The sequence below is a fragment of the Homo sapiens genome, chromosome 1, assembly GCF_000001405.40.
Source record: "Homo sapiens chromosome 1, GRCh38.p14 Primary Assembly".
Taxonomy (NCBI): domain Eukaryota; kingdom Metazoa; phylum Chordata; class Mammalia; order Primates; family Hominidae; genus Homo; species Homo sapiens.
Window position 1 is genome coordinate 54,778,281 of NC_000001.11, and position 24,645 is coordinate 54,802,925.

General features: G+C 51.8%; 1 protein-coding gene and 1 long non-coding RNA gene across 5 annotated transcripts, besides 9 other annotated features; one reads left to right on the plus strand and one right to left on the minus strand.

The window, feature by feature from the left end:
• On the minus strand, positions 1,432 to 23,043 carry TTC22 (tetratricopeptide repeat domain 22). Of its 4 annotated transcripts, none has more exons than NM_001114108.2 (7): positions 22,317 to 23,043; positions 9,762 to 9,817; positions 9,431 to 9,546; positions 8,677 to 8,795; positions 7,703 to 7,864; positions 4,045 to 4,197; positions 1,432 to 3,499 (listed from the first exon to the last, which is right to left on the minus strand). In NM_001114108.2, exons 1-7 carry the CDS (start codon positions 22,881 to 22,883, stop codon positions 2,963 to 2,965), a joined length of 1,710 nt encoding a protein of 569 aa, NP_001107580.1. In that variant the 5' UTR covers positions 22,884 to 23,043; the 3' UTR covers positions 1,432 to 2,962. The 4 variants fall into 4 exon arrangements, with proteins under 4 accessions (NP_001107580.1, XP_016857071.1, XP_011539973.1 ...); XM_017001582.2 differs by lacking the exon at positions 22,317 to 23,043 and adding an exon at positions 17,325 to 19,131; XM_011541671.3 differs by lacking the exon at positions 4,045 to 4,197.
• Positions 2,844 to 3,386: an enhancer, noted in NCBI's record as "H3K4me1 hESC enhancer chr1:55246797-55247339 (GRCh37/hg19 assembly coordinates)". NCBI's record gives its function as "activates a minimal SCP1, AML or CMV promoter by ChIP-STARR-seq in naive H9 embryonic stem cells {active_cell/tissue: H9 hESC(naive)}" and the evidence as "EXISTENCE:reporter gene assay evidence [ECO:0000049][PMID:30033119]".
• Positions 3,387 to 3,928: an enhancer, noted in NCBI's record as "H3K4me1 hESC enhancer chr1:55247340-55247881 (GRCh37/hg19 assembly coordinates)". NCBI's record gives its function as "activates a minimal SCP1, AML or CMV promoter by ChIP-STARR-seq in naive H9 embryonic stem cells {active_cell/tissue: H9 hESC(naive)}" and the evidence as "EXISTENCE:reporter gene assay evidence [ECO:0000049][PMID:30033119]".
• LOC124904182 (uncharacterized) lies at positions 12,455 to 16,628 on the plus strand. The gene is made up of 2 exons (XR_007066099.1): positions 12,455 to 14,779; positions 16,458 to 16,628. It is a non-coding gene; the product is annotated as an uncharacterized LOC124904182 (long non-coding RNA).
• Positions 16,516 to 16,810: an enhancer, noted in NCBI's record as "tiled region #10932; HepG2 Activating DNase matched - State 8:EnhW". NCBI's record gives its function as "activates a minimal TATA promoter and a strong SV40 promoter by Sharpr-MPRA in HepG2 cells {active_cell/tissue: HepG2}" and the evidence as "EXISTENCE:reporter gene assay evidence [ECO:0000049][PMID:27701403]".
• Positions 17,441 to 17,980: an enhancer, noted in NCBI's record as "H3K4me1 hESC enhancer chr1:55261394-55261933 (GRCh37/hg19 assembly coordinates)". NCBI's record gives its function as "activates a minimal SCP1, AML or CMV promoter by ChIP-STARR-seq in naive H9 embryonic stem cells {active_cell/tissue: H9 hESC(naive)}" and the evidence as "EXISTENCE:reporter gene assay evidence [ECO:0000049][PMID:30033119]".
• Positions 17,981 to 18,519: an enhancer, noted in NCBI's record as "H3K4me1 hESC enhancer chr1:55261934-55262472 (GRCh37/hg19 assembly coordinates)". NCBI's record gives its function as "activates a minimal SCP1, AML or CMV promoter by ChIP-STARR-seq in naive and primed H9 embryonic stem cells {active_cell/tissue: H9 hESC(naive and primed)}" and the evidence as "EXISTENCE:reporter gene assay evidence [ECO:0000049][PMID:30033119]".
• Positions 22,471 to 22,540: a silencer, noted in NCBI's record as "silent region_923". NCBI's record gives its function as "represses an Ori minimal core promoter by ATAC-STARR-seq in GM12878 lymphoblastoid cells {active_cell/tissue: GM12878}" and the evidence as "EXISTENCE:reporter gene assay evidence [ECO:0000049][PMID:35858748]".
• Positions 22,641 to 22,720: a silencer, noted in NCBI's record as "silent region_924". NCBI's record gives its function as "represses an Ori minimal core promoter by ATAC-STARR-seq in GM12878 lymphoblastoid cells {active_cell/tissue: GM12878}" and the evidence as "EXISTENCE:reporter gene assay evidence [ECO:0000049][PMID:35858748]".
• Positions 22,846 to 23,611: an enhancer, noted in NCBI's record as "H3K27ac-H3K4me1 hESC enhancer chr1:55266799-55267564 (GRCh37/hg19 assembly coordinates)". NCBI's record gives its function as "activates a minimal SCP1, AML or CMV promoter by ChIP-STARR-seq in primed H9 embryonic stem cells {active_cell/tissue: H9 hESC(primed)}" and the evidence as "EXISTENCE:reporter gene assay evidence [ECO:0000049][PMID:30033119]".
• Positions 22,911 to 22,990: a silencer, noted in NCBI's record as "silent region_925". NCBI's record gives its function as "represses an Ori minimal core promoter by ATAC-STARR-seq in GM12878 lymphoblastoid cells {active_cell/tissue: GM12878}" and the evidence as "EXISTENCE:reporter gene assay evidence [ECO:0000049][PMID:35858748]".

A 24,645-nucleotide genomic window follows, 5' to 3' on the forward strand; every position in this document is an offset into this window, starting at 1 on the left:
TCCTGGCTGAGCTCTAGACCTCAAGGGTCCTTGGGCTGCAGAGCTGGCCCCAGCCTCTGTCATTGGACTTGGTAATGGAGCCACATCTTTGGGACTGAGGTGCCACATCACTGCTGGGCATTTACTCAGTTCAACATCCAAAACTAAGTCTGTCTTATATGCCAAGTACACTGTGGGCCATGGGGCCAAATGAGTTGTGGTTCCTGCTATGAAGAACCCAGAGTTGAGTGGGGGCAATGGACATGCAAAGAGAAGGAAAGAAATGCAACACAGTGGGACAAAATGCCCAAGAGCTCTCCATGCGTGAAAGGGAGTGATTAATGAGAGCTGAAAGGATGTGCAAGACTTCCTGGAGGAGGTGCCTTTGAGCAGACCATTTGGGGTAGAAATGACAGGAAAAAAGCCAGTGGAGGAAAAGGGTGGACAAAGGCACCAAGGTTAAGGCAGTGTGGGAGCAGAGATGAGGGGTAAAGTAACAGGTAGGGTTGGTGCTCACAGGACATGGAAGAGGCCCAACTCCAGACCGAAGATGACACAGCTCTTGCACAGGTCCGTGTTCCAGGACAGAGCACTGAACGAGGCTGGTCTGGTTCAAATCCTGGCCCTTCACATACTTACCTGTGACCTTGTTCTGTGTCTCAATTTTCTCATCTGTAAATGAGGATTCTAATACCTAACCTTCAGAGCTGTTGAGAACATTAAGTGAGACTACACCATGAGATTGCATTAAATGAGATTACATGAGATTAGCACAGAGTAGGCAGTCTGGGAAATGGGGTTTCCTATCTCTCTTTGGCTTTTTGTTAATATGCAGATACTCCTGAGAAAAGCTATAGCGGGCATGTGTTAACCATTTATATAATTAGGGTGAACGAGATTATCAGAAAGTTTACTGAAAAAGTTATGAGAGGACAGGGAAGCAATGGAGGGAGAAATGCATGCCTTTAGGGACAGGAAAGGCAAGAAAGGAAACAAACTAGGGAGCCTGGGGCAAAAGATAAACTTCATCAACCTCTAAGTTTTGCCAGAAGACTGCCTTAAATTCAGTTTGTTTGTTTAAGGAAGGAGAAGAAAGAAATGGGTTCCCATCCTAGGGATGGTCATGGGTCACAGTCTTGGGCATAAGAGGGATAGGGGTGGGTGGGGGATAGAAGTGGACAGGGGTGCGTGTGGCCTGCTGTGGAGTCACCTCCTGGCCTCTGCTGCAATGGTGGTGAGAGGAGAAGGAGGGTGAGAGAGAATGTCACCATTCAAAGTGGTGAACCATGGTGACCCATGAGGTAGAATTCAGGAGACTTAGGGTGGCCTCCCTGCCATATTTCACAGGTACCCGGAATGCCACCGTTAGTGTTGAAGCATTGTCCAAGTGGATATCAGAGTGACTCGTGTAACAAGTGACACACAAACCTTTAACATATAAACACTGAATACTTTAGTGTTGATCAGTTTATTAGTATTTTTCCAAACCTGAAGAATGGTGAAAGTTTGTGGTACAGTGTGGGGAAAACAGTAAGTGTGGCTTTGGGCAAGCCACTTCCCTTCTATGGCTCTCAGTTTTCCCATCTGCACAATGAGGGGGTTGGAGTGTGTGGTCTCTAAGGCACTGAATTTCAGTCTGTTCTCCATCCATCAGTGGATATGTGAGATGCAATGCAGGGGTGCTGGCCTGTCCCTGGTAATGAGCGAGGATATGAGCAAAGCAGTGAGTACAGCCTGGAATTCCAGCTACTCAGGAGGCTGAGGTACGAGAATCACTTGAACTTGGGAGGCTGAGGTTTCAGTGAGCTGAGATCTGGCCACTGCACTCCAGCCTGGGCGACAGAGTGAGACTCTGTCTCAAAAAAAGGATTCTACGACTATGATTCCAAGAGTGTAAAATTCCAAGATGTTCTTTAAAATTAGTAGAATGGTCAAGACTGGGGGCAGGGCCGGGTGCAGTGGCTCACACCTGTAATCCTAGCACTTTGGGAGGCTGAGGCGGGTGGATCAGTTGAGGTCAGGAGTTCGAGACCATCCTGACCAACATGGCGAAACCCTGTCTCTACTAAAAATACAAAATTAGCCAGGCCTGATGGCACACGTCTGTAATCCCAGCTACTTGGAAGGCTGAGGCGGGAAGATCGCTTGAACCCAGGAGATGGAGGTTGCAGTGGGCCAAGATCGTGCCATTGCACTCCAGCATGGGCAACAAGAGCGAAACTCCCTCTCAAAAAAAAAAAAAAAAAAGGGGGGGGGCAGGTGGCACCTCCTAATGGGTGGCGCCCTTAGTTTCCCCCAAGAAGAGGGAAATCAAGTGAAGGTTCTATTGATGAGCTCTATTTCAGAGCATTTGGGAGGCCTTTTGGGCCAAGCGGACCAAGAAGGAGGCCTACTAGAAAAGTAGCAGAGAGGCAGGAATGAGCCCTGAGCACGAGGCTTAGGCTAGGGCCCTGTCCCGTAACTCACTCGCCGTGCCACCCTGCCCTCTGCTTTAGTCAGGGCTTTTCTGGCTGCAGGAGCTGAGACCACACTCCAGTCAACTAAAGTAAACGGGGCTTTCTCATAAGGATAGAGTGTGGCCTACCGGAGTCCAAAGACAGGCACTCAGGCCTGAGGGATTGAGCGCCCGGACTAGAAAACTGCCACACTGAGGTAGCTGTCTTCTGTTTCTCTCAGAAGCCTCACAACCATCTTATTTTACCTGTATGTCTAGAAAATTCTGTCCCTTAATTGGCAGCTTCCCAGTGTTTTCTCACCTCTGCTCCCAGCCTCTTCTGCTCTCGGGAATCAGGCCTTCCAGTCTGGGTGGGCGTTTCAAACCGCGCGGGTGTCGCAACATCCCCATTCACAATTCCCGACCAAGAATCGAACTGGCTCCGCTCCCAGGTCAGCCTAAGGCAGGGAGTCCATCCGGACCTGGTCCCATCAGCTGGGCGGGGCCTGGGCGGGGTCCCAGGGAGCCTCCGGCCTGGGCACCTGAGCCCTAGAATGAGACAGCCCGGCGGTCCCGCGGCGCGCTGGCGCCCTCGCCCTCGCGCTCCATGGTCTCGAAGAGCAGCCGCACCAGCGCCGGCCGTCCCTGGGCCACCAGGGCCCGGGCCAGCCCCAACACCTCGTCCGTGTGCCCGCGCCACACGCGCTGCAGCTCCTGGCGCAGGCGCGCCGCGGGGTACTTGTCCTGGGCGCGGCGCAGCCAGGCGTCCACCTCGCGGCCCAGCTCCCCGTCGCTCAGCTGTGCCTGGCTCCACTGCGCCAGCAGCGCCTCGAGCAGGCAGCCGAAGCCGTCGGTGTGGCTGGAGCCCGCGTCGTCCAGCTCCACTGCGCGCTTGAAGCAGGCGGCCGCGTTGGCGTCCTCGCCCTTGATGCGCAGGCACTTGCCGCGCAGCAGCTGCAGCTCGGGCAGCGTGGCACCCAGCTCCGACTCGCCCGCCTTGGCCAGGAACACCAGCGCCTGGTTCAGCGCCGCCTCGTCCACCGCCAGCAGCTCCTGCACCGCGTCCACGCCCATATAGTAGTAGACCTGGGGTCGGGGACGCGGGGTGAGCCCTTCACCGCAGGCGCGGCTCCACGCTCATTCCCGCCCCACGCTTGCTTTAAAAAAAAATTCCACTCCTTCACTCATTCCCACCCTCTCTCCATCGACAATTATTAATCACACGTTTTATTCCTGCTCCTCTAGAAAAGGAGTACCCCGATTCCAGTTCCAGCCCCTTCACACCTAGCTATATAACCTTGAGTGAGTCAATCTCTGGATCTCGGTTTTCTTGTACCTAAAATTATGATATTGTCACTTCTTGGTAAACATTCCCTGAACACAGATAGAGAATAGGTATCTTCTAGATAAAGAATAATGCCCACACTTCCTGAGTGCTTAGGAAGAGCCAAGCCTTATTCTAAATACTGTACACACGTCTTATTCAGTCCTCACCACGGCTGGAGGAGATGGGTACTGTTATCAGGGAGTGAAACTTTTTCCTCTGCATCTTGGCCTAGCCCTTGGTCTAGCCTGGCAAGGAGTAAACAGATTCTTGCTCAGCTATTGGCTAAGCCAAGAGACTGCCTTACCTGGCCGATGTCCAGGTACGCCTTGAAGCCTGGGCACACCCTGACCACTTCCTCAAGGTCAGCCTTGGCACAGGCCAGGTGGTTCCTGTCAGGCATGCCCCCGAGACCCATCTTGGCCCGCTTGAGGTCATGCAGGTAGGCTCTGATGTGGATCTGCCAACAGAGAGCCAGCTTAGGAAAGATGATCCAGGCAAGGGCCTCTGCCTTCCTCTCTGCTCTAAATGAACCCAGTCTTTTTTTCAACAGCAACCAGGGAGGTTATGTGTTGCAGTAGAAAGACCCTGAGGCCAGGACCCAGGAGTCCTAGGTCCTAGCCTTGGACCAACTTGGGTTAGCCATACCCTCTTTCTGGTCCTTAGTTTCCCTGTCTGTGCAATGAGTGAGTAGGATGAAGTAAGAGTCCCTTACTCATTCAGCAGATATGTATTGAGTGCCCACCATGTGCCAGTTCCTATGCTGGGTACAGGAGGTACCGTGGTAACAAGATAGATGAGGTCCCTGCTCTGGCAGAACTTAACATTCCAGTAGGGGAGGCAGTCAATAGTAAACAGTTCTATTTCAAGTGGTAAGTGCTATGACAAAATAAATATGGCAATGGGATAGAGGTGATTGGGGAGGATTATTTTAGGTAGGATGGCAGCACCGATTTTGTGAGAGTCTATGTCAACAAGCAGTTTGGGAAGAATGGCAGGTGGCCCCAACTGCCAAGCATCACATTACAAATGATCTCAAACCCTTGCTTTCCTGAATTCCTCCATTTTCCCCACACTTAGAGCATTTACAAAGTTTGGAGGTTTAGGAGGGGTGGGTTTGGGTTGGGTAGAAGGAAGCAAGGGAAAAGGGGTTATTGTTGTTGAAGGTATTAATGCTTTATAGTCATCAGAAGGGATTTGCTTATAAGACAGCATCATGGAGGCAGGGGGAGATGAATCTCTGGCTTTCGGGTCAGTTGGACTAGGGTTTGAATTCCAGTCCTTCCCTTAACCCCTAGCTATTAGCCATGTCATCTGGAGGGAGTTCCACAACTCTATGAACCTGAACCTCATTTCTATATCTGAAAACTTAGTACATGAATATCTTCCTTGGGGAATTACCATGATGTCTGAAAGAACATATTCTAGTCAGGAGCTAGCATATGGTAGGTGCTCAGTTCATTTATTCATTCAGCAAATATTCATTAAGAGCCTCCTCTGTGCCAGACACTGTTCCAGGCACTGAGAATACAGTAGACAACAAAACCACAAAAATCCCTGCCATTAAGTAGCTTATATGTTTTGGGGGAGAGAGAAAATAAACATGATAAATATGTAAATAGTGTGTAAGGGAGTGATTAGTGCTAAGAAGAAAACTAAACCAGGAAAGGAAAACATAAAATGTTGGCGGAGGCTAGGTGTGGTGGCTCACACCTATAATCCTAGCACTTTGGGAGGCTGCAGCTGGAGGATTGCTTGAGCCCAAGAATTTGAAACCAGCCTGGGCAACATAGGCAGAACCCTGTATCTACAACAAATAATTTTTAAAAAATTAGCTGGGCGGGTGTTGTGGTGCACACCTGTGGTCCCAGCTACTTGGGAGGCTGAGGTGGGAGGATCACTTGATCCCAGGAGTTCAAGGCTGCAGTGGGCCGTGATCATGCCACTCCACTCCAGCCTGGGTGACAGAGTGAGACCTTATCTCTAAAATAATTTTAAAAATAAATTAATTAACAAATTAAATGTTGGCATGGCTTTGATATTTTCAATTAGATGGCCACTAGAAGACCTGTAGGAAGTGTGGGAGGAAGCCAATCAGATATCTGGGAGAAGAGCATTCCAGGCAGAGGCCCAGGCCAGTAGGGTTGGAAGACTGAGAGAGGCATGAGCAGAGGGAGGTGGGGTAGAGAGGTCATGAGGCCAGGGCCACGCTTATGGGCCGCAGCATGGACTGAGGCTTTTACACAGATAATGTGAGTTCCCTCCTCCTCCCATCTCTTCTCCACCATCCTGTGCTCCTCTAGTCATCTGAGTAGTAAGTGTGACCTCTGGCACCACAGAGAGGCCAGGATCATAAGACACCAGATGGTGATGGAGGGAGGAGAGTAAAGTTGGAGTTTCTGATTATTGAATGCAGTTCCTTGGGGAAGTTCCCTGCCTCCCTGGTTCTATGTGGCCTCATTTGTAGGATGGACATGTCCGGCCTCTCTCAGAGGGTTCTTGTGAACATTAAATCAGACCATGAACTTGAAAGTGCTTGATGAAATGCAGAATTTTATAGAGATATTTTATTATTTACTATTATGGTTAATGTCATTATTATCTAGAATAATAACCACATCCACGACAGTGAAGGAATTTCACTCCTGCCTCGTACCTGCTGGCAAAGTAATTAAGCCACTGAGACCAAGACTGGGAGTAGATTTGCCACTAGGTCATGTGGATAGTAGTGGAGAAGATGAGGGGATGGGAGGACTCTTCGGCTTGCAGTGAAGTAAACTGGGAGCTCCGAGTCGGCTTCCTCAAGCACATGGGCTCTGTGTGGGCTCTAGGAGGCAGGTCTGGGACCAGTGCGGGAAGCTAGCAGGAGGCAGAACTCACCTAAGTGTGTAACTTGCAGAGCTGAATGACTATGCAGTGGACTGCATCAAGAGACAGTGAGATAATTCAAAAATATGCCTAATATTAAATTAGTAGCAGTCAGTCTCTTATGAAATCTTACTGTGTGCTTGATGCTGAGTTTTACATACAAAATCTAATGTAATTCTCATAACAACTCCAGTCTACAGATAAAGAAATTGAGGCTCAGAATCTGGGCAAGAGTATTTTGCCAAAGGTCCCGTAGCACGTGGTGTTGTGGGATTTGAACCAAGGCTGTCTGTGTTCAGAGCCAGAGCTCTGATCCACTATATTAAATGACCTCTACTGGCTTTCAGAAAAGCACCCCCTATGTCCAAGGCACTGTGCTTTAGATGCTACCTCACTGTGTCTGTTGACAACATTTTAAGGAAAGTGTTGTTATTTATATCTTACAGATTTGGGAACTGAAGTTTGTGGGGGTAAGTGGCTTGCTGCAAGTTCCACAAGGCGGAGAAGCCAGATTTCAACTCTGGTCAGTCTGATTCCACCCGTGCCAATCCAGAAGAGGCTGGGGGCTCACTGACCAGGAATTGTAGAAGGGATTCCTGCAGTGAGTGGAGGCTCCTGCATTCTTTCACTCAAAAACCTTACAGGGCTGGGTGTAGTGGCTCACACCTGGAATTCCAGCACTTTGGGAGGTCGAGGTGGGAGGACTGCTTGAGCCCAGGAGTTTGAGACGAGTCTGGGCAACATAGTGAGACCTCGTCTCTACAAAACAAAACAAAAATTAGCTGGGTGTGGTGGTGTGCACCTGTAGTCCCAGCTATTTGGGAGGCTGAGGCGGGAGGATTGCTTGAGCTTAGGAGGTCTAGGCTGCAGTGAGCCGTGGTGGCACCACCATACTCCAGTTGGGTGACAGAGCGAGACACTGTCTCAAAACAAACAAAAAACTTTATAGAACCCAACTGTGTTTTTTGATGGCTCCTAAGCTCCCTTCCACCATGAGGACTCCCTGACCCTTGGGCCCTGGCAACAGGGTCTTGGCCTCTGGCCCTTGTTCTCTGATTCCCAATGGCAGGGTATGGTGGGGCAGGAAGTTGACCCACCTTGGCCCTTGTGCAGTACGCCTGCCAGTTGAGTTCTGGATCTCGTAGGACATCCAGGGCCATGTTGCAGGTTCCAATGGCCATATCCTGCTTTCCCAGGAAGTAGAAGATTTTTGCCAGGCGATTCAGGATGGGAGGTTGGTTCTTGGCAATCTCAATGGCCTAGGTAAGGGAGGAGTGCAAAAACAAACCACTTGCTTGGTCATTAGCCAGAGCTGGCTAAACAGTGCTGAACCACAGGAACCCCATCTTTGGATACAGCCGTATCAACATGGTGCCCTTTACCCATATCCACCCTTATCCACCTGCCAGTAAGTTGTCACATCACGAAGCCCCAACACCTTGGGGCACAACCTATTGGCACTCAACTCCTGAGAGCCTGGCCCACGACCACATCACCGGTCACATCCAGTAAAGCCTTCCAGAGCCCAGTCAGACCCCTCCTTCCCAGTGTATGCTCTCCCATCTTCCTAGGGCAGGTGAGAGGAAGGGCCAGAGGCAACCCCCATCCCCCAACCTTACAAAGTACAGGGTTTCTACCTGGGTAATAACACTTACCCTCACTATTGTCATTGACTGCTTCCTGTTGTAAGTGACTTGCCTTAGGGTCACACAGCCTATGGGCAGGGCTGGCAAGGAGACACCAGCTAAACCCATCTTTCTACTATGCCACTGGGGGTGGAGAGGTAGGGAACTCCTGGCAGAGGGAATACTGTGAATGAAGGTCTCAAGGGAAAAAGTCTAAGGGTCTATTTCAAGGCTGGAGAAATGGGCTGGGGCCAGACTGGGTATGGGGAGGGTCTCTTTTGTTTTGAATGAAGAGAGGATGGAGAGCAAGGTCTGGAGTAAGTGTACTTCCTGGGTGGGCCACGCGGTGGGGGTTGATACCCAGAGAAGCCTGGGTTCTAGGTGGAGAGGCTGGGGTGCCAGGCTCCTTCTCAGTTTAGAGGGTGGGTGTGGCTGGGGGCAAGTACCTTGCCGAAGCAGTCTAGAGGGTCGGTCCCTGAGTACCCGCAGTCATGGACGCCCATGGGGGTGGTGGAGAAGGTGTCCTTCCGCTCCAGCAGCATCCCGAGGTAGCACCAGGCCAGGGCTGGGGGTGAAGGGTGGGAGAGGGTCTCTAGGAAGCAGCAGGGTGGAGAGAGGGAAGGGGCCATCCCCATCCTAGGTGTCACCCATGAAGACAAAGCAAGGGATAGTAGAGTGGGATCACTGAGGGCAACACAGGGACAGAGAGAAGCAAAGGTGGAGAGAGGGGCCATGTGAGGGGTTAGTGAACCCATTTTAGTGCTTATTCTGTGCTCAATGTGTCATCGGGGGACCTAATTTCAGGTACGTAGGTCTCTTCTGACTTCAGCTCTCACCAGCTCTGGTGGTTCTAGTCCCTGCTCTTGCTGTCTGGCCCTGCAAAAAAATGACTCGACTCCTCTCCAACAGAGGCTTCAATCTTCTGACCATAAATAGGTGGAAATAGGGGAAACTACCTCTCACCCTCCAGGTCATGAGCTGCAGACGGGCAAGCCTGCAGTCACAGTGACTTGTAGTTGGCATGTTCACTTGGGCAAGGTATGTGGGCTCCTTGAGGTGCACAGATGAGTGTAGGGGACAGAGCGAAGGAGGAAGAAACAGGAGCCAAGAAGGGGAGGTAATGCCAGAGGTGGATGCAATGCCAGCGGGCTGTTGGCAGGGGGCAGAGGCTGCTGTCCCACCCATCCCCCGGGTCCCCACCTCGGTGGCGGGGGTCCTCGGACTTCAGCACTTGCCGGAGTAGGGCCAGCGTGCGGTTGAAGGCAGGCAGTCTCTTCTGCTCCTCACTGCCCAGCTCCAGGAAGATGCCATCTAGCCTGTGGCCGAGAAGGAGATGTGGTTGGGTGGCACCCCTCCCGGCTGTCCTGTGTGCTGCCAGCCCTGCCCAGGCCTGTGGTGGTGGGGGGTGGCGGTTTGGGGAGCCCTTTCCAGTAGGAAGGGCCCAGCCACCTCTGCCCTTACCCTGCTGGCTGGGTGCCAGGCCACACCTCTCCCTCTTCCATCCCGTACCCCCACCACCCTCTTGCCTGACCTGATGTAGAGTGTTGCCATGGTGAAATACCAGCCCCTTTTCTCCTCCATCGGGATCTAGGGAAACAGAGAACAGCCCACACTGCCATTACTGAGGTACTCTGGCCATTGTTCATAAACTCCCACACTCACTGAACCCCAAGAGGCAGCAGGCACAAGTGGGAAGGGCTTTGACCTTAAACACCTTTGATTACAGTCCTGGTTCTGCCCCTGACTGGCTGGGTGGCCTTGGGCAAGTCACTTCACTTCTCTGACTACAGAGACTTTGTGAGGGCCCCCAGTGAGGTGCCTATCCTAGAGCAGGTATGGCGAGCATTTCCTCCCCACCCCGCCACAGGCCCCCCAACCCCAGGGCGCACACCCCACTGCCCACCCTCTCCTCCACGCCCACCGGCCTCCCGTTTGGTGCCATCCCTGCAGTCTTCACCTTCCTGAGAAAGTCCCTTTGGTCATGTTAAGTGAGCCCAGCTCAGCTGAAGCCCAAGAACCCCCCTGAACTGTTTTGCCATTATTATTCCTGCCAACCTTGCTGTGCGACTTGGGCACCAGATAAAATATTTATGCTGTTATTTATGGTAGTAGCTGCTCCAGCTTCGGGAAGGAATTTTAATGAAAACCAGTAAAACCCCCCAGTGCATATCAGCAGCTCTCCCTCAGGCTCCAGCCCCTCCCTCCACATTCATCTCCCGTCCCTGATCTGGAGGCTTCACTCTGTACTTGCCACCCCGACTGTGGCCTCCTCAGCTGTGGGGGAGGGGGACCCATCATCTCTCTACCCCCGTCCCCAGCAGCTGGGGTGAATGCATTTGTGAGCACCTATGGCATAAGGTCCTGTGCTGGGTGCTCTGGGAATGTGGCACTGAATGGGACCTGCACCCTGACCCAAACGCACTCACAACCTGGCAGGGGAAGCAGATCCAGGCTTCAGTAATAGGATGCCACTCAGTGCCTGCATGTGCCAGGATCCTGACACCCATTTTCTCCATCTCACAACAAACCTATCATGTAGCTGTTATCCACATTTTATAGTGGAACATATTGAAGCTCAGAGAGATAAAGTGACTTGCCTGAGGTCACACAGCTTTTGAGGGTCAGAGCTGGGATCTGGTCCCCGTTTGTCAGCCTCCAAAGCCCATGCTTGCTTCCCCACACTGGGTTGCCAATAGCTGTGGTATGAAGCCAGGCCTGATAGAGGCCATGAGAGTGGTACAGAGGAAGTGTGGGGGATGGGCAGGCCACTCCCAGCTGGGGGATGTGGGCTTAAGGAGGGTCTTGGGTCATATTGGCACTTCAAAGGGTGGGCTCCAGATGGAGGGCTCCCGTGAGCAGAGGCCTGGAGACGTTGGGGATGGGCAGCTGATGGGTGTGCAGCACACAGTGTGTGAATGGGGATCTGGGGGAGCCAATGCTAGCAGGTTAGGTGTGGCTGCTCCGGGGAAACCTTGGATGAATTTGAAGGGAGGGGTCCTTGTGAGTCAGATCCCACCAACTGGTGTGACCACCCATCAGGACAGGGTCTGGAACCCAGGTCCCAGTCAGACCACCCAAAAGGGGCCCCACTAATTGCATTTCTCAGTCAGTATTCCCTGAGTATCTTCTCTGTGTGGCTCTCGGCTGGGCAATAAGGACAGGAGAGAAAAGGCAGGCTCTGGGTCCTGCAAGAAAACCAGACCCAAAGACACAATAGAGTAGAAGGAACATGGGGGCAATGGGAGCCCAAGGAGGTATCCTGTATAATCCAGGAACATCCCCATGGCTATCCAGAGGAGGAAGTACTAGGGCAGGGTCCTCAAGGACAAGTAGGAATCACCCAGGTGGATACGGTGAGAAAAGGCAATCTAGGAGGATGGGACATCAAGTGCAAAAGCTCAGAGAAGAGCGAGCAAGGCATGCTGGGGTCTGCATGCAGCCAGAGGGCTGGAACCCTGATGGTAAGGAGTGGAGGGAAGAGCCAGCAGGCGCATAATCAGGAGGGGCCCCTGAGTACCAGGGTCAGGACTTGGAGCTCATCTGCAAGGTAGTGGGGAGTTATAGAAGGAGATAGAGCTGGAGGGTTGGGCGCAGTAGCTTATGCCTGTACTCCCAGCACTTTGGGAAGGTGAGGCAGGAGAATCTCTGAAGCCCAGCAGCAGTCCAAGACCAGCCTGTGCAACATAATGAGACCCTGTCTACTCGAAAATCAAAATCAAAATAGCCAGGCACAGTGGTGCAAGTCCATAGTCACAGCTGCTCTAAAGCCTGAGATGGGAGAATTGATTGAGCCCAGGAGTTTAAGGCTGCAGTGAACTATGATAGCACCACTGCCCTCCAGCCAGGGCAACAAAGTGAGACCGTGTTTCTTAAAAGAAAAAGAGGCTAGAGCTCAGGAATGCCAAGATCCGACGGATGTGTGCCTTTACATTTGTATCACCTTGAAAGGTAATCCTGTTACTTAGGTGGGAATATGTATATTGGGACTTTAGCTGGGAATAGGACTGTCTGGAGGGGAGAAGGGATGGCCTCAAGGCTTAAAGGGCATCCCTGAGAAGTGGGGAACACTTCCCAAAGCAAAAGGCAGGGATAGGACTCTGGATACCCTTATCTGCTTTACTTACACTGGACCTGGGAAGGAAAAAGGAGACTGGGATTTATGGAGCACCTAGTGTGGGCCAAACTGGCATGATGTGTCAAAGCCTGACCATGTAAAGGATCAGGGGCACATGGGGTGCCTCAGGCTTCCTGGCTGCTGCTGCTGCTGCTGCTGCTGCTGCTTCTTTCTTCTTTCTTCTTCTTCTTTTTCCTTCTTCTTCCTTCTTCTTCTCCGTCCTCCTCCTCCTCCTTCTTCTTCTTCCTCTTTTTTTGAGATGGAGTCTTGCTCTGTCACCTAGGCTGGAGTGCAGTGATGTGATCTCAGCTCACTGCAACATCTGCCTCCTGAGTTCGAGCTATTCTGCCTCAGCCTCCCGAGTAGCTGGGATTACAGGTGTCTGCCACCACACCCGACTAGTTTTTGTATTTTTAGTAGAGATGGGGTTTCGCTATGTTGGCCAGGCTGGTCTTGAATTCCTGACCTCAACTGATCTGCCCACCTTGGCCTCCCAAAGTGCTGGGATTACAGGTGTGAGCCACCGCGTCCGGCCCCCTGGCTGCTTCTATGTGAGCAATCCCATGACCTCTGGTCCCTCACCTGCTTTGAGGTTGGCTCAACTGAGTCATGGTGGGGAGAAAGAGAACCCACTCTGCCTTCCTTGCTCCTGGCAAGGGAGCCTAGCATCCAGCAAGAACAGGTGTAGTAGACTTGAGGGGTGGGAAAGCGAAGAGCTGAGGCTCGTGTGCCTGGCAGGCCTGGCCATATGAGATGGGTGACCTTGGGGGATGTTACCCCTGGCAGGTTATGTCCTTATCTGCAAAGGAGGATAATCATATGGGCCTCTCAGGAGTTGTGAGGGCAGTGCCTGGCCCAGAATAGATGTCTGTTCCCTTTTTCCTGGTCTGGGTAGAGCTGAGTAGGGTTAGTGTTCCCTAGGAGGTTACTTTGTCCACTGTGGCGTGTTTCAGTGCCCGATGAGGCAACGTGGTCTTTGGCCCTGGAATCTGGAGCCATCCTGTGGCACCCTGCTGTCCTCTCCCAACTATGCTCCCAGGACCTCAGGACCTCCAGTCCCCTGTTGGGTCCCAGGCACCTTTCTTGCCTCCACAGGTCCCCAGTGTTGGAGACTAATGTGTTGTCCTCAGGGCTCTCCCAGCCACTCTCTTGTTTGGTATTCAAGTGGCAAGAAGTTAAATTATGTGTCCAAACCACAGTACATGATAGAGCTGGGGCTTAGATTCATGCCTCCATGATCCTATTCCCAAGCCTTGTCCACAACACTCAGTTATCCTGATCAATCTCCTTACTAGATATCCGAGGACACCGAGACAAGAGAGGCGAAGTGGCTTACCTAAGGTTCCACACTAGTTAGCATCAGAGCTTACAGTCCAGTGGTTTCACCACCACTCTGCGCACTGTTGACTATTACTGATTAATTCAAGAGCCTGGTTAAGGTTTTCACTAAGCAAGCAATACCACCACCTGGTGGCACTATGCCTGAATTGCAGGGGCAACTCCTAAGCGTCAACTCTCCTCCCCTTCAACTTGATGACTAAAATTGATTTTCAAAAAAGTAGCTAATTGGGTGTCATCTGTGTGACAAATCCCTAAAGTAGTCCCTCATCAGATCCCGCTTGAGAGCAGCATTTGCAGGAGGGCTTGTGGGGTTGCAGATGGGGTCAGTGGAAATGGAACAGAATTAATGGGATACACAGACCTAGTCAGAAGCCTCATTGTGCCTGAGCTTTATTCCTCTATCCCTGTGGTGAAGCTGGTGTTGGCTGTTCACTCTGTGGTGCAATTCTGGCTCCAAAATAGACTGTCTCTCTCTCTTTTTTTTTTTTTAGACGGAGTTTCGCTCGTTGCCCAGACTGGAGTGCAATGGCGCGATCTTGGCTCAACGCAACCTCCGCCTCCGGGTTTAAGCAATTCTCCTGCCTCAGCCTCCCGAGTAGCTGGGATTACAGGCATGTGCCACCACACGCAGCTAATTTTGTATTTTTAGTAGAGACGGGGTTTCTCCATGTTGGTCAGGCCAGTCTCGAACTTCCGACTTCGGGTGATCTGCCCGCCTCGGCCTCCCAAAGTGCTGGGATTACAGGCTTGAGCCACTGTGTTTGGCTCTGGACTGTCTCTTTAAAAGTCCTTCTGGTTGTAACTGAAGCAGTAACTGAAGCAGCCGCTGAAGCTGTTACTAGGGGCAACCTGGCAAGCCATAGTGCATTAAATTAAATTAAACAGGCTTGTGACTGCCCCCTCCCCTCCTGGAGAAGGGAGGGGGTATTCCCCCTCTATCCTGGAGAATAAAGTTGCTGTGAAACCTCTTATGGCTGCAAGGAATTCAGTTACAGAGTTTATGACTCCCAGAGGCAAGATGTTTGGAGGCAGCCTGGGAGGAGGCTCACAGGACTTCTGCCAGAAGAGGAGTATTTACAGTGAACCTGCCTGGGGTGGGTGGCCTCCGGTCAGGACACCCCCACCTTTCTCTCATTCGATCCTTATCACAATCCCGTGGGCTGGGGATTCCGTGGTCTATGAGAGAGGCTGGCCAGCGTGTGAGTCCAGGTTTATGCTAGAGGAGCTTACATTAGGCTGCTGTTCTGTAGCAGATTCATGGGAGGGAACTAGGCGAGGCCCATGTTGACCCTAAAATGAAATTTGTAGACCCTGGTATGAGCTGAAGGTGAGCATGAGAGACAGACCTCAGGTGAGGTGTTCTCAGCACACCTCCCAGCTCTTCTGAGGCCCTTGCTATTACTTTCCTCATATTAGGGATGGGGAAACTGAGGCTGACAGAAGCAGAGGTTGCCTACTTAACCTGGTACTTCAGGCCAGGTCTCTCTGACTTCAGTGCTCTTCCCACAAGATCTAGCTGCAAGGAGCTAGTGTTTGTACAGTGTTTACCATTTACAAAGGGCTTTCACACAGATTCCATGTGATCCTCAGAACAGCCTCATGGAATGTAAATGGAGTATCATTACCCTCTTTGTACAGATGGGAAGACTGAGGCAAGATGCTATCTTCACAGTCACATGTCCAGTGTAACAGTCTCGACTGAAACCTGGAGATAATGCTCTTTTGCTATATTAATAATAGCAACTTTTGAACACTTACTATGCACCAGGCACTTCATTTACATGCGTTACCCCATTAGACTTTCTCAAGGGTTACCTATGGGGTAGGGATTGTTATTCTCCCAAGTTTACAGATGAGGCAACTGTGGCACAGAGTGGTTAGGGCATGCACCCAGAGTGACACAGCTAGCAGGTAGTAGGGCTGAGAACTCTGCGAGTTAGCTCCAGAGTCTTTGCCTCCAACTACCCTAGACAAGCGGTTTTCAAAGTGTGGCCCCCAGACCAGCAAGATCAGCAGCAGCACCTGGGAATTTGATAGAAATGCAAATTCTTGACCCACTGAATCTAAAACTCTGGGGTGGGAGCCCAGCAACCTGTGTTTTAACAGGCCCCCTACTGCATGCTGAAGTTTGAGAACCATTGCACAAGGCTCTCACTGTACTACCCTAAGGTGGAGCAAAAATGGGCTAGAAGATTTGTCTCTTTTTTAGTGAGTAAAAGGATCAGAAATTGTGATCCTCAGGGAAGGCTGAAGATCGAAGCTCCTGTGGGCTGGGTGAGGAAGCAAAAAAGGTTAGTGACCCGACAGAAACTGCAGGAAATGGTAGGATTAGGATAAGCCATTACCAGAGTAGGTATGTCTTAACTCGGGTGGGGTACAAGGTTGGATATCAGCATCCCATTTACTTCAAAAGATGGCCCCAAAAGAAGGAAATGTTGGGGAGCTTGGCTATTTTAAGTTATTCCAATAGAAGATCTTTCACTACCCCAATGACTTACAATATATATGCATTTGAATAGGCTATACAGACACCTTGCTTGTTCTTAAGGAAAATATTTGCCTTGTATTTTGAACTTTGCCCCTGATGACAGGCTGTCCTCTAGATTCAGAGTCAGTTCCTGAAAGCTGACTAATTTTCTTTCTGGGGAGGAGGAATGACAAACAGGAAAGAGAATGAACATTTCTCCAGTGTCACTGGGCTCCTCAGTGCATCATGGCACTGGGTTCTCACAGCAGCCTCAGAAGGTATAATGCATCTTCCTCCTTTTACAGATCAGGAAACAGAGACTACAGAAAAAGCCACCGGCCCAGCCCCATAGCCCAGGGCAGAAGTGCCAGGATTCAAGTTCAGATCTGCCTCCCTCCAATGCCCCTGTTGTTTCCACCTCATCATGCTGACTCTGTGAAGGCTGACACTGCAGAAATAAAAGTCACAAGGTGGCAGGCCTGTGGATATGTCCTTCCTGCACAACTGGAATGTCCTCTGTGATGACACAGAGCAGCCTTTCTGCTCCTGCACACTGAGCCCCGCCCCACCTGGCCCCAGCCTGCCGCCTGTGGGCCATAGTACAAGACAGGCAGGGAAGGGGGTTGCTCTTCCCCACACCCAGCTGTGGGTGGTGATGCTCTTGTGCTCCTGCCTTGTCAGGTGTGGGGAGGAAACAGAAGATGAGATTGGAATCCCACCCCTGCCTCTCACTCCTCTAGGGGTCCTGGAGAGCCCACTGGCATGGCTCAGCTTCTACATCTGCAAACAGGGGTGACCCCATGTGGCCTGCCTGCATCATAGGCATGTTGGCTGAGGTGGTATGCGCACAGGTGGAGGGAATTTGGGACTTGGGTGTTAGGCCATGGAAACAAATATTTGGCCCTGTCTTGGGCTCCCTGGACAGTTCCCTGCAGATTTTAAGCTTTGAGCGGCTCCCTGCTGCCACCTCCTTTCTGGTCCTAGGTCTGTCATGCAAACACAGGCCTTGTGAGTCAGCTTTGCTCTGTGCTGGGTCCCAGACTTGCTGGCCTGTGTTGAGCCACTTCTCTGTTTCATTGTCCCTAGTGAGAGGGCCATTCCCTATCTGGTCCAGCGTCCAAATCCAACTCTAGCACCGGTAGTAGCTGAGTGGGTCTGCAGAAGTCTCTTACCCTCTGCAGTAACAACAGTGATGCCTGAATTTTCTCAGCTCCTCCCGTGGGTCTGTGCTGTGCTGCACTCTCACATACATCATCTTTTCTCCTGTAAAAGAGGTGGTTGGGCTGGATGATGCTAAAATCAGCTTTCTCTCTGGGCTTCTGTATCTATGAGGAGGAGGGTACCCAGCTCTCAAACTTCCCAGCTAAGTGGGGAGAGAAGCCAGTAGCAAACTTAGAGGGCACTGATATGCAAAGGTGAGCACCCCAAGACCACATAAGGCTGGAGCCAGACCCTTAGGAAAGCTGTCTCTCCTCCTGGGCTTTGATGTCCCATAGACCTGAGTTCAGTTCCTGTCAGCCACACGTGCCCTTGGGCAAGACACAACGCCTCTCTGTGCCTTAGTTTGCTGTCTATAGAATGGGGTTAATGGATTTGCCAGCATTTCTGTGATGATCAAATGAGATAATCGATGAAAAGCACTTGTGTGCACAGTGCCTGGGATATCATCCAGCTTCATCTACCTCCTCATGGAGCTGAACCAAATCAAACCACTCAGAATTGTGGAGTCGTGTGTGTGTGCGCGTGTGTGTGTCTGTGCGCGTGCGCACGTGTGGACACGCATGCGTGCATACCAGGGATCCTGGGCTTGCTGACCTATGACACTCTCTTGGGCCTTCCCGCCAGGTCCCCACCCCGCTGGGCGCAGTGATGGATTGGAATGCCCACACCTTTGTTTGTGAGGCTGGCCACCTCCCTCCCCAGCCGCCTCAGCTGGCTGGTGAAGTATGGACAGCCCCGTGTGCACTGGGCCTACCTGGGCAAGTCCCTTCCCCTCCCTGAGTCTGTTATGCCCGGGGTGCAAGGGGGAATCACAATACCTGGCGGTGTGTCTGTGAGGTCTGAATAAAAATTAAATGCGCAAAGGCAGGTAAGATCCTGAGCTCAGTGCCCGGTGCACAGACACCATTGCGGGTGTGGTTCCTGTCATTACTCAGGGCCTGCCCTGGTGTGTATGTGACTGCATGTGTTTGTGTTAAAGCACCAGTGTTTTGGGAAAAGGGGAAGAAAATAACATAACTGAGTTGGCTTGGGACAGGGATTTTTTTTTAATCTTAGACAATAAATAGGGATTTTATTTTAAAAAGGGATTTATTTTATTTTAAAAAATAGGGATTTTAAAGACAGAATCCAGTTATTCGACTAAATTAAACAATGGTTGCAAACTCCTCTTGGGTGTTCAGCTCTACGTCAGACATTGAGGAGGGTGGATGGGGAAGAGAGAGAAAAGCCCAAGACAGAATGCCCACACTCTAGGGGCAAGAAAGAAACCATGTGGGGGTAAGCCAGAGGTTGGGAAGGCTCTATTGAAGAGCAGTGGTGAAGTGCTGTGGGCCAGGGCAGGCAGGGAGAAGCCCCAGGCAGGACCTTATGTGCCCCTGCCTGGTGCTTTTCATGTTTTCTCAATCCTCACAGGAATCATGTGAGGTTCACGTTAGAATCCCATTTTACAGAGGAGGAAACTGAGGCTCAGAGGAATAAAGACTTGCCTGTAGCCAGCTAGTGATGGAGGCAGAATTCTCACCTGGTCTAACTCCAAAGCTTATGCTCTTAATAGCTACTTAATCTAGAGATTTGCTACCAAGGGTCCATCTGTGAGTGTATATGTGTGTAAGAGATGGCGTGTGTATACACATGTGTGTATATTTAGAGGGTTGATGGGAGGAGGAGGGGAGTGATCAAAGCGATCTGCCTCCTCATATTTTTTGTAATTTAAGAAAGAGAAATGTGGCTGGGCGCGGTGGCTCAGCACTTTGGGAGGCCAAGGCAGGCGGATCACCTGAGGTCAGGAGTTCAAGACCAGCCTGGCCAACATGGTGAAACCCAGTCTCTACAAAAATACAAAAATTAGCCAGGCACGATGACAGGTGCCTGTAATCCCAGCTACTTGGGAGGCTGAGCTGAGAGAATTGCTTGAACCCGGGAGGCAGAGGTTGCAGTGAGCCGAGATCGTGCCATTGCACTCTAGACTCAGTCTCAAAGAAAGAAAGAAAGAAAGAAATGGTAGGGAATGAAGAGCAAAGAAAGGAAGTCACAGGGACACACCCCCTCCCATACAAACACTGATTATGTTTGGATTACGGGCTGAATGATTAACTTTTATAATGTTTTCTTTTATAATTTATTATTATTGTTATTATTTTGTAGTTTAGGTTAGCAGATGAGCAGCTGTTCACAGTTCTTCAGCAGCTCTTTGTCCTTTGAGGTCCAGAGGCTCTTCCCCACCTGGGAGGGTCCCAGCCCCACAAGGATGGAAAATCTCTCGCTGCAGGGGGTCCCTCCTCCTCCTCCTTTCCTGGCCTGACTCTGACTTCACCTTCTACCTCATCCTCCCCAGTCTCTGGACACATGGAAACCCACCCACCTCCTCTCTCTCCATACTCCTCTGCCTTAGATTTCCAGGAGTACGCCTGCGAGGGGTCTCCCCTCACCATCCTGCTCGCCATCTGCATTATACCCCATTTCTCTGAACTCTCCAGAAAGAGCAAAGGCTGTGCAGTCAACCAGGGTGGCATGGATTTAGCTGCCATTTACTAGCTCTGTGACCCTGGGCAAGCCTCATTCCTTGCCCCAGTTCAGCTGGCACTCAAGCCCCCGTGCTCTGCAGGCCCCACCATGGGGCCTTTGCATGCACCATGCTCCTGCTGGGTGTGTCCCCCCTCATTCCTGCCTGGGAACTCCTGCTGAAGGGGAGTGTTCCCTCTCTGCCTCAGTCACTCCCACTTTATCCACAGGGCCCGGACTTTCCAGGTCACTGTTGATACCAACCTTTGGTCCCCATATCCCCAGAGTGTACTTTCATTGTCAGCCCCTGGGGCCCTGTTTTTGGTTCAGAAAGTGTGACCTCTGGGTGTACAGTACTTAGAGATGATTGCCAATGACACAGGCCTGTGATGAATGCCTGTGTCCTCAGCCAGTGGTAGACACGTCTCTGATTTGTCCCTTTGGACCATTCCCAGAAGAGGGGCTCAGGTAAGCATAGTTAATGAAGAAGCAAATGTTTGCTTCTCCTTTTGTTCAAGGGCTTCTTAGAGGCAGGGACTTCTTAAAAACAGAGCCTGGCACATAGTAGGTGTTCAATAAATGTTAAAATGCTCAGTAAATGCCTCTCAGACATGCCCAGAATTTTCCAGTTTATGGGCATTTTTACTCTCATCATTTGTTGCATAATCCCAATAAACCTGGAGCTGATCAATGTTTATGAAGCAGGAACTCAGGCAAGTCACAAGAGACGACAAGTGACTTGTCCACAGCCACACAGCAAAATAATAACAGAACTAGGTGCTCAGAACGAAACCTCTGACTCTAAAAGTGATGCAACCATCATTATTGTCATCCTGCCTGCAACTATTTCTTGAGCACCTACTCTGCCAGGTGCTTTAGAAGCATGATGTCATCTAATCCTCAGATGATAAATAGGGTCTCCAAATCCCAAACTCTCTCTGGAGGTTTGTGTAGGGGGCTGACCACAGCTGCTCTGTGCAGAACTGTGGAGCAGCTGCTGGGCCATGCCCCAGGACACAGCACAGGGTTGGCAGCCACACCCCCATGAAGCAATCGGCTCCCTCCCTGGAGTGCTGGGCACCCTGCTTAGCACTCTCTCATCTGGATGTTCACTCACTGGGGAATCCCCACTGTGGCCGTGTTCCCAGAGAGGGAAGAGCCAGCCTCTGATAGCTACCCCTGAATCACTGCTTTCCTGCTCACCTCCTCCAGGAAGGCTTCCCCCAGTGAACGGCCTCCTAAGAGCAGGAAAGTGCCTCAGAGACCATGTAGCCCCTGCTTCCTGCACCCCTTTCACAGATGAAGAAACCACAGCCCAGGGAGAAGAAGGCCCCACTGTGGGTAGTGTTGCAGCTGAGACAAGAACCTAGGCCTCCTGGCTCCTAGCCCAGGGCTCTTCAGGCCCCTCTCTGCTGCCATGACCTGCTGTCATGACCGCATTCAACACATCAATCTTGGTTGTGCCTTCCACTGAAGGTAGCCTGGCATTCAGGGCCACAGGCTCAGGACTGAAACAAGAGACCTGGGTTCTTGTTGACCTCATGCAATCAGTGGTCATGTCTACACCCAGCTTAGGAGCAGAGGAAGCTCTCCCAGCCGGGGAGAGGGAGGGGTCATCTGTGACCCTGCTCATCCCTGTGCAGGCTCTTTCTAGGTGCTTTACAAATATTAACTGTTAATTATGACATCAACCAAGTGAGGGATGTCCCTGTTTTACAGATGACAAAGCCTATGACATATGTAACATTACTATCTCCATCTTACAGGGAGGGGAAAGGAGCTTGGTGGTGCTAAGCACTGATTTGAAGTGAGTGAGCACGGGGGAGCTGGAATTTGGATCCAGACCATCTAACCCAGGGTCAGCTCTCTTAACCCCTACCCTGCATGCTGTCCTTAAGTCAGGTCCATGCCCTACAACCTGTACTTTCTGAGGTCTTGACTCTCACATCTTCTCTTACTGAAGCCATGATCATTCATGGAAAAGGCACTGAGGGGAGTGTGCGGAGCCTTTGTGAAGGGAGCTGTGCTTCCCTGTGCTCCCTTCACATGGAGGTGAGGGGGAGAGAAGAGGTGGGAATGTGCCCAAGTTTCTGGCAGGATGCCTGACTGTGCCTTTTACTTAGGTGGGTGTGCACAGGCGCAGGAACAGGCACTTGCTGGGAGGAGCAAGGTAAGAAGGATGAATTGTCCAGGTTGGGCTTGTGCTGTTTCCAAAAGAGAGGCTTGGGCAGGCAGTCCCACTAGGAAGCGGTTCCACTCCCAGGAGAGAGCTACAGGCCTGGCTGGGGCAGGCGGGGGATGCACATTGGAAAGGCATTTGGGAGGCCAAAAGACCATGGTTGAGAGAGAGTCAGGGGTACCGGGGCATCTCTGCAGACAGAAGGGACCATGGGAGGACCACAGTCCTCCCAGAGGGAGGTAGGGAGACAGGGGTCACCTACCTGCTGCCCGTAGCCTAGCGCCTTGTCGTAGAGCGCGATGCCTGCCGCCAGCCCCCGCGCACGCTCCTCTGGGCTGGCGCAGCCGACGTCGAAGCCATGCGCGTAGCCCTGCTCGGCCAGGCAGCGAGCGGCGCGGAGCTGGGGGTCCCCGGCGGCCTCGGGCTCCTCTGCCAGGCCCATGAGGTCGGCCAGCCGTGCGGCGCACGCCTCCTCCTCTTCTTCCTGGCCCAGCCGCCCGTACACGTGTGCCAGATTGGCCCAGGCATTGAGGTTGCCCGGGTGCTCGTGGGCCACCTCGAGGAAGCACTCGCGGGCCTCGTCCAGCTCCTCCAGGTAGAATGCGAAAGCGCCCAGGAGGTGACGCACAGCGGGGCGCTGCGGGGCGGCCGCCAGCTGGAGCTCCTGCCGCAGACCCTCCCGCTGCAGCTTCAGGTCCCGGGCGCGCTGTGGGGCCGGCGAGCGCGGCTCGAAGTTCAACTGCATCTCCAGGTGAAAGTGGCCCGGGAGGTAGTCCAGGTCGTCGATGAGGGCGTCTAGATCGTCGGCCACAGCCTCCAGCTCCGCCATGACTGCTCCCTCTGCTCCCCTGGCCTCACCCTTGTCCCTGAGGCTGTGGAGGGCAGTGGATGGGGGCGTTCCCCGAGCGAGCTCCGTGCGGGAGGCGAGGGGCAGCCGGCAGAGGCCCCGGGCGCTGCGGCCTCTCGGTCTCAGGGCGCCTCCCGCAGGTGGGTGGGCCCGAGGAGTGCCCTGTAGGTGTTTCCGCTTTCGCTGCTCAGCGGCTTCTAGACGCTGACATTGCACAACCAGGTGTGCCAGAAAAACAGGCACATTGTCAAATACGGGGTGCGCAAACCTCGGTGCAAGGCAAAAGGCGTGTTTTTACGCTGCTAAGCAGAGGAGGAAACTGAGGCTCAAGAGGAGGAAGAGAACTTGCCCAGGTCACAGAGCTGGGGCGTACCCAAGTAGGTAGACCTGGAACCCCAGTTTGCTGAAGGCCGGGCCCTTCCTCCAGGGGCGCTGCTCCGCCCTGTCTGCTTGAGCTGAGTCAGGACTGGCCGTTCTAGCTGCGGCAGCCACCCTTACTCCTGCCGCTGTCCCATCCTCTCTGCAGGTCCTCAGTGCTTTTCCTCTGAATGGAGCCTGCCACCTCCCTCCTCTCTTTTTGGGCCATTATTTATGAGGCTTCCTTCCTGGGATTTCTCTGCGCCCTCTCTGCTCAGCAGTGAGCTCCTGTGCAAAGACTATGGGCTGCATGTGCTGGTTCTAATCCTGCTTCTCCAACCCTAATAAAGTATGACCTGCCACACTTTCCTCACCTGTGACATGAGGATGACAATCCTTCCGCATTTATCAGGTAAGCCTGATAAATGGCCACTCTGGATAAATGTCAGCTCCCACTCCTCCAGCTTGGTTCCCATCCCATCTTGCACTCCACCTGTGGTCCCAGTTTTCTTGCTTTGGCAAATGTCCCTCCCAGGTCTAGAGTGGTCCCCTAACCTCTAGCCTGGAGGCTGGGTGGCAGTGCTCCCTGCTGCAGGGGCCAGTTCCTCCCGCTCTTCTTTCCACCTGGGCCTGGCTCCTGCCATCCCTGTTGTTTCATCTTGACAGACAGATGAAATATATATCTAGATGAAATCTAGATAGACTATCTATGAAGATATAGATGTAAATATTTATATTTCATATAGATGAAATATCTATGTATTTCAAGATGAAGCAACACAGACCAGCATTTCAAAAGAGGAAATAAAGCCAATTAGTAAACTTGAAAAAATATTTGACATTAGCAAAAAAAAAAAAAAATAGTTAAATTAAAACAACATCCTGGTGCCATGTTTCACCTGTCAATTTTTAAATATAAAATTAATTTTAATAATTTTTAATTGAAAATTTTGCTATAAATTGCTGGTGATCCTGTGATAAAACTCGTTCTCTCACCTGCTTGAGAGTATCAGGGGTGGATTCACAGAGGGTTTGGCTTTGAAAAAAAAATTGCGGGCCAGGAGCGGTGGCTCACACCTGTAATCCCAGCACTTTGGGAGGTCGAGGTGGGCGGATCACCTGAGGTCGGGAATTTGAGACCAGCTTGACCAACATGGAGAAACCCCGTCTCTACTAAAAATACAAAATTTGCTGGGCATGGTGGCATATGCCTGTAATCCCAGCTACTCGAGAGGCTGAGGCAGGAGAATCGCTTGAACCCGGGAGGCGGAGGTTGCGGTGAGCCGAGATTGTGCCACTGCACTCCAGCCTGGGCAACAAGAGCAAAGAACTCCGTCTCAAAGAAAAAAAAATTGCAACAACGTATACTTAACAAAAAATTTACAGT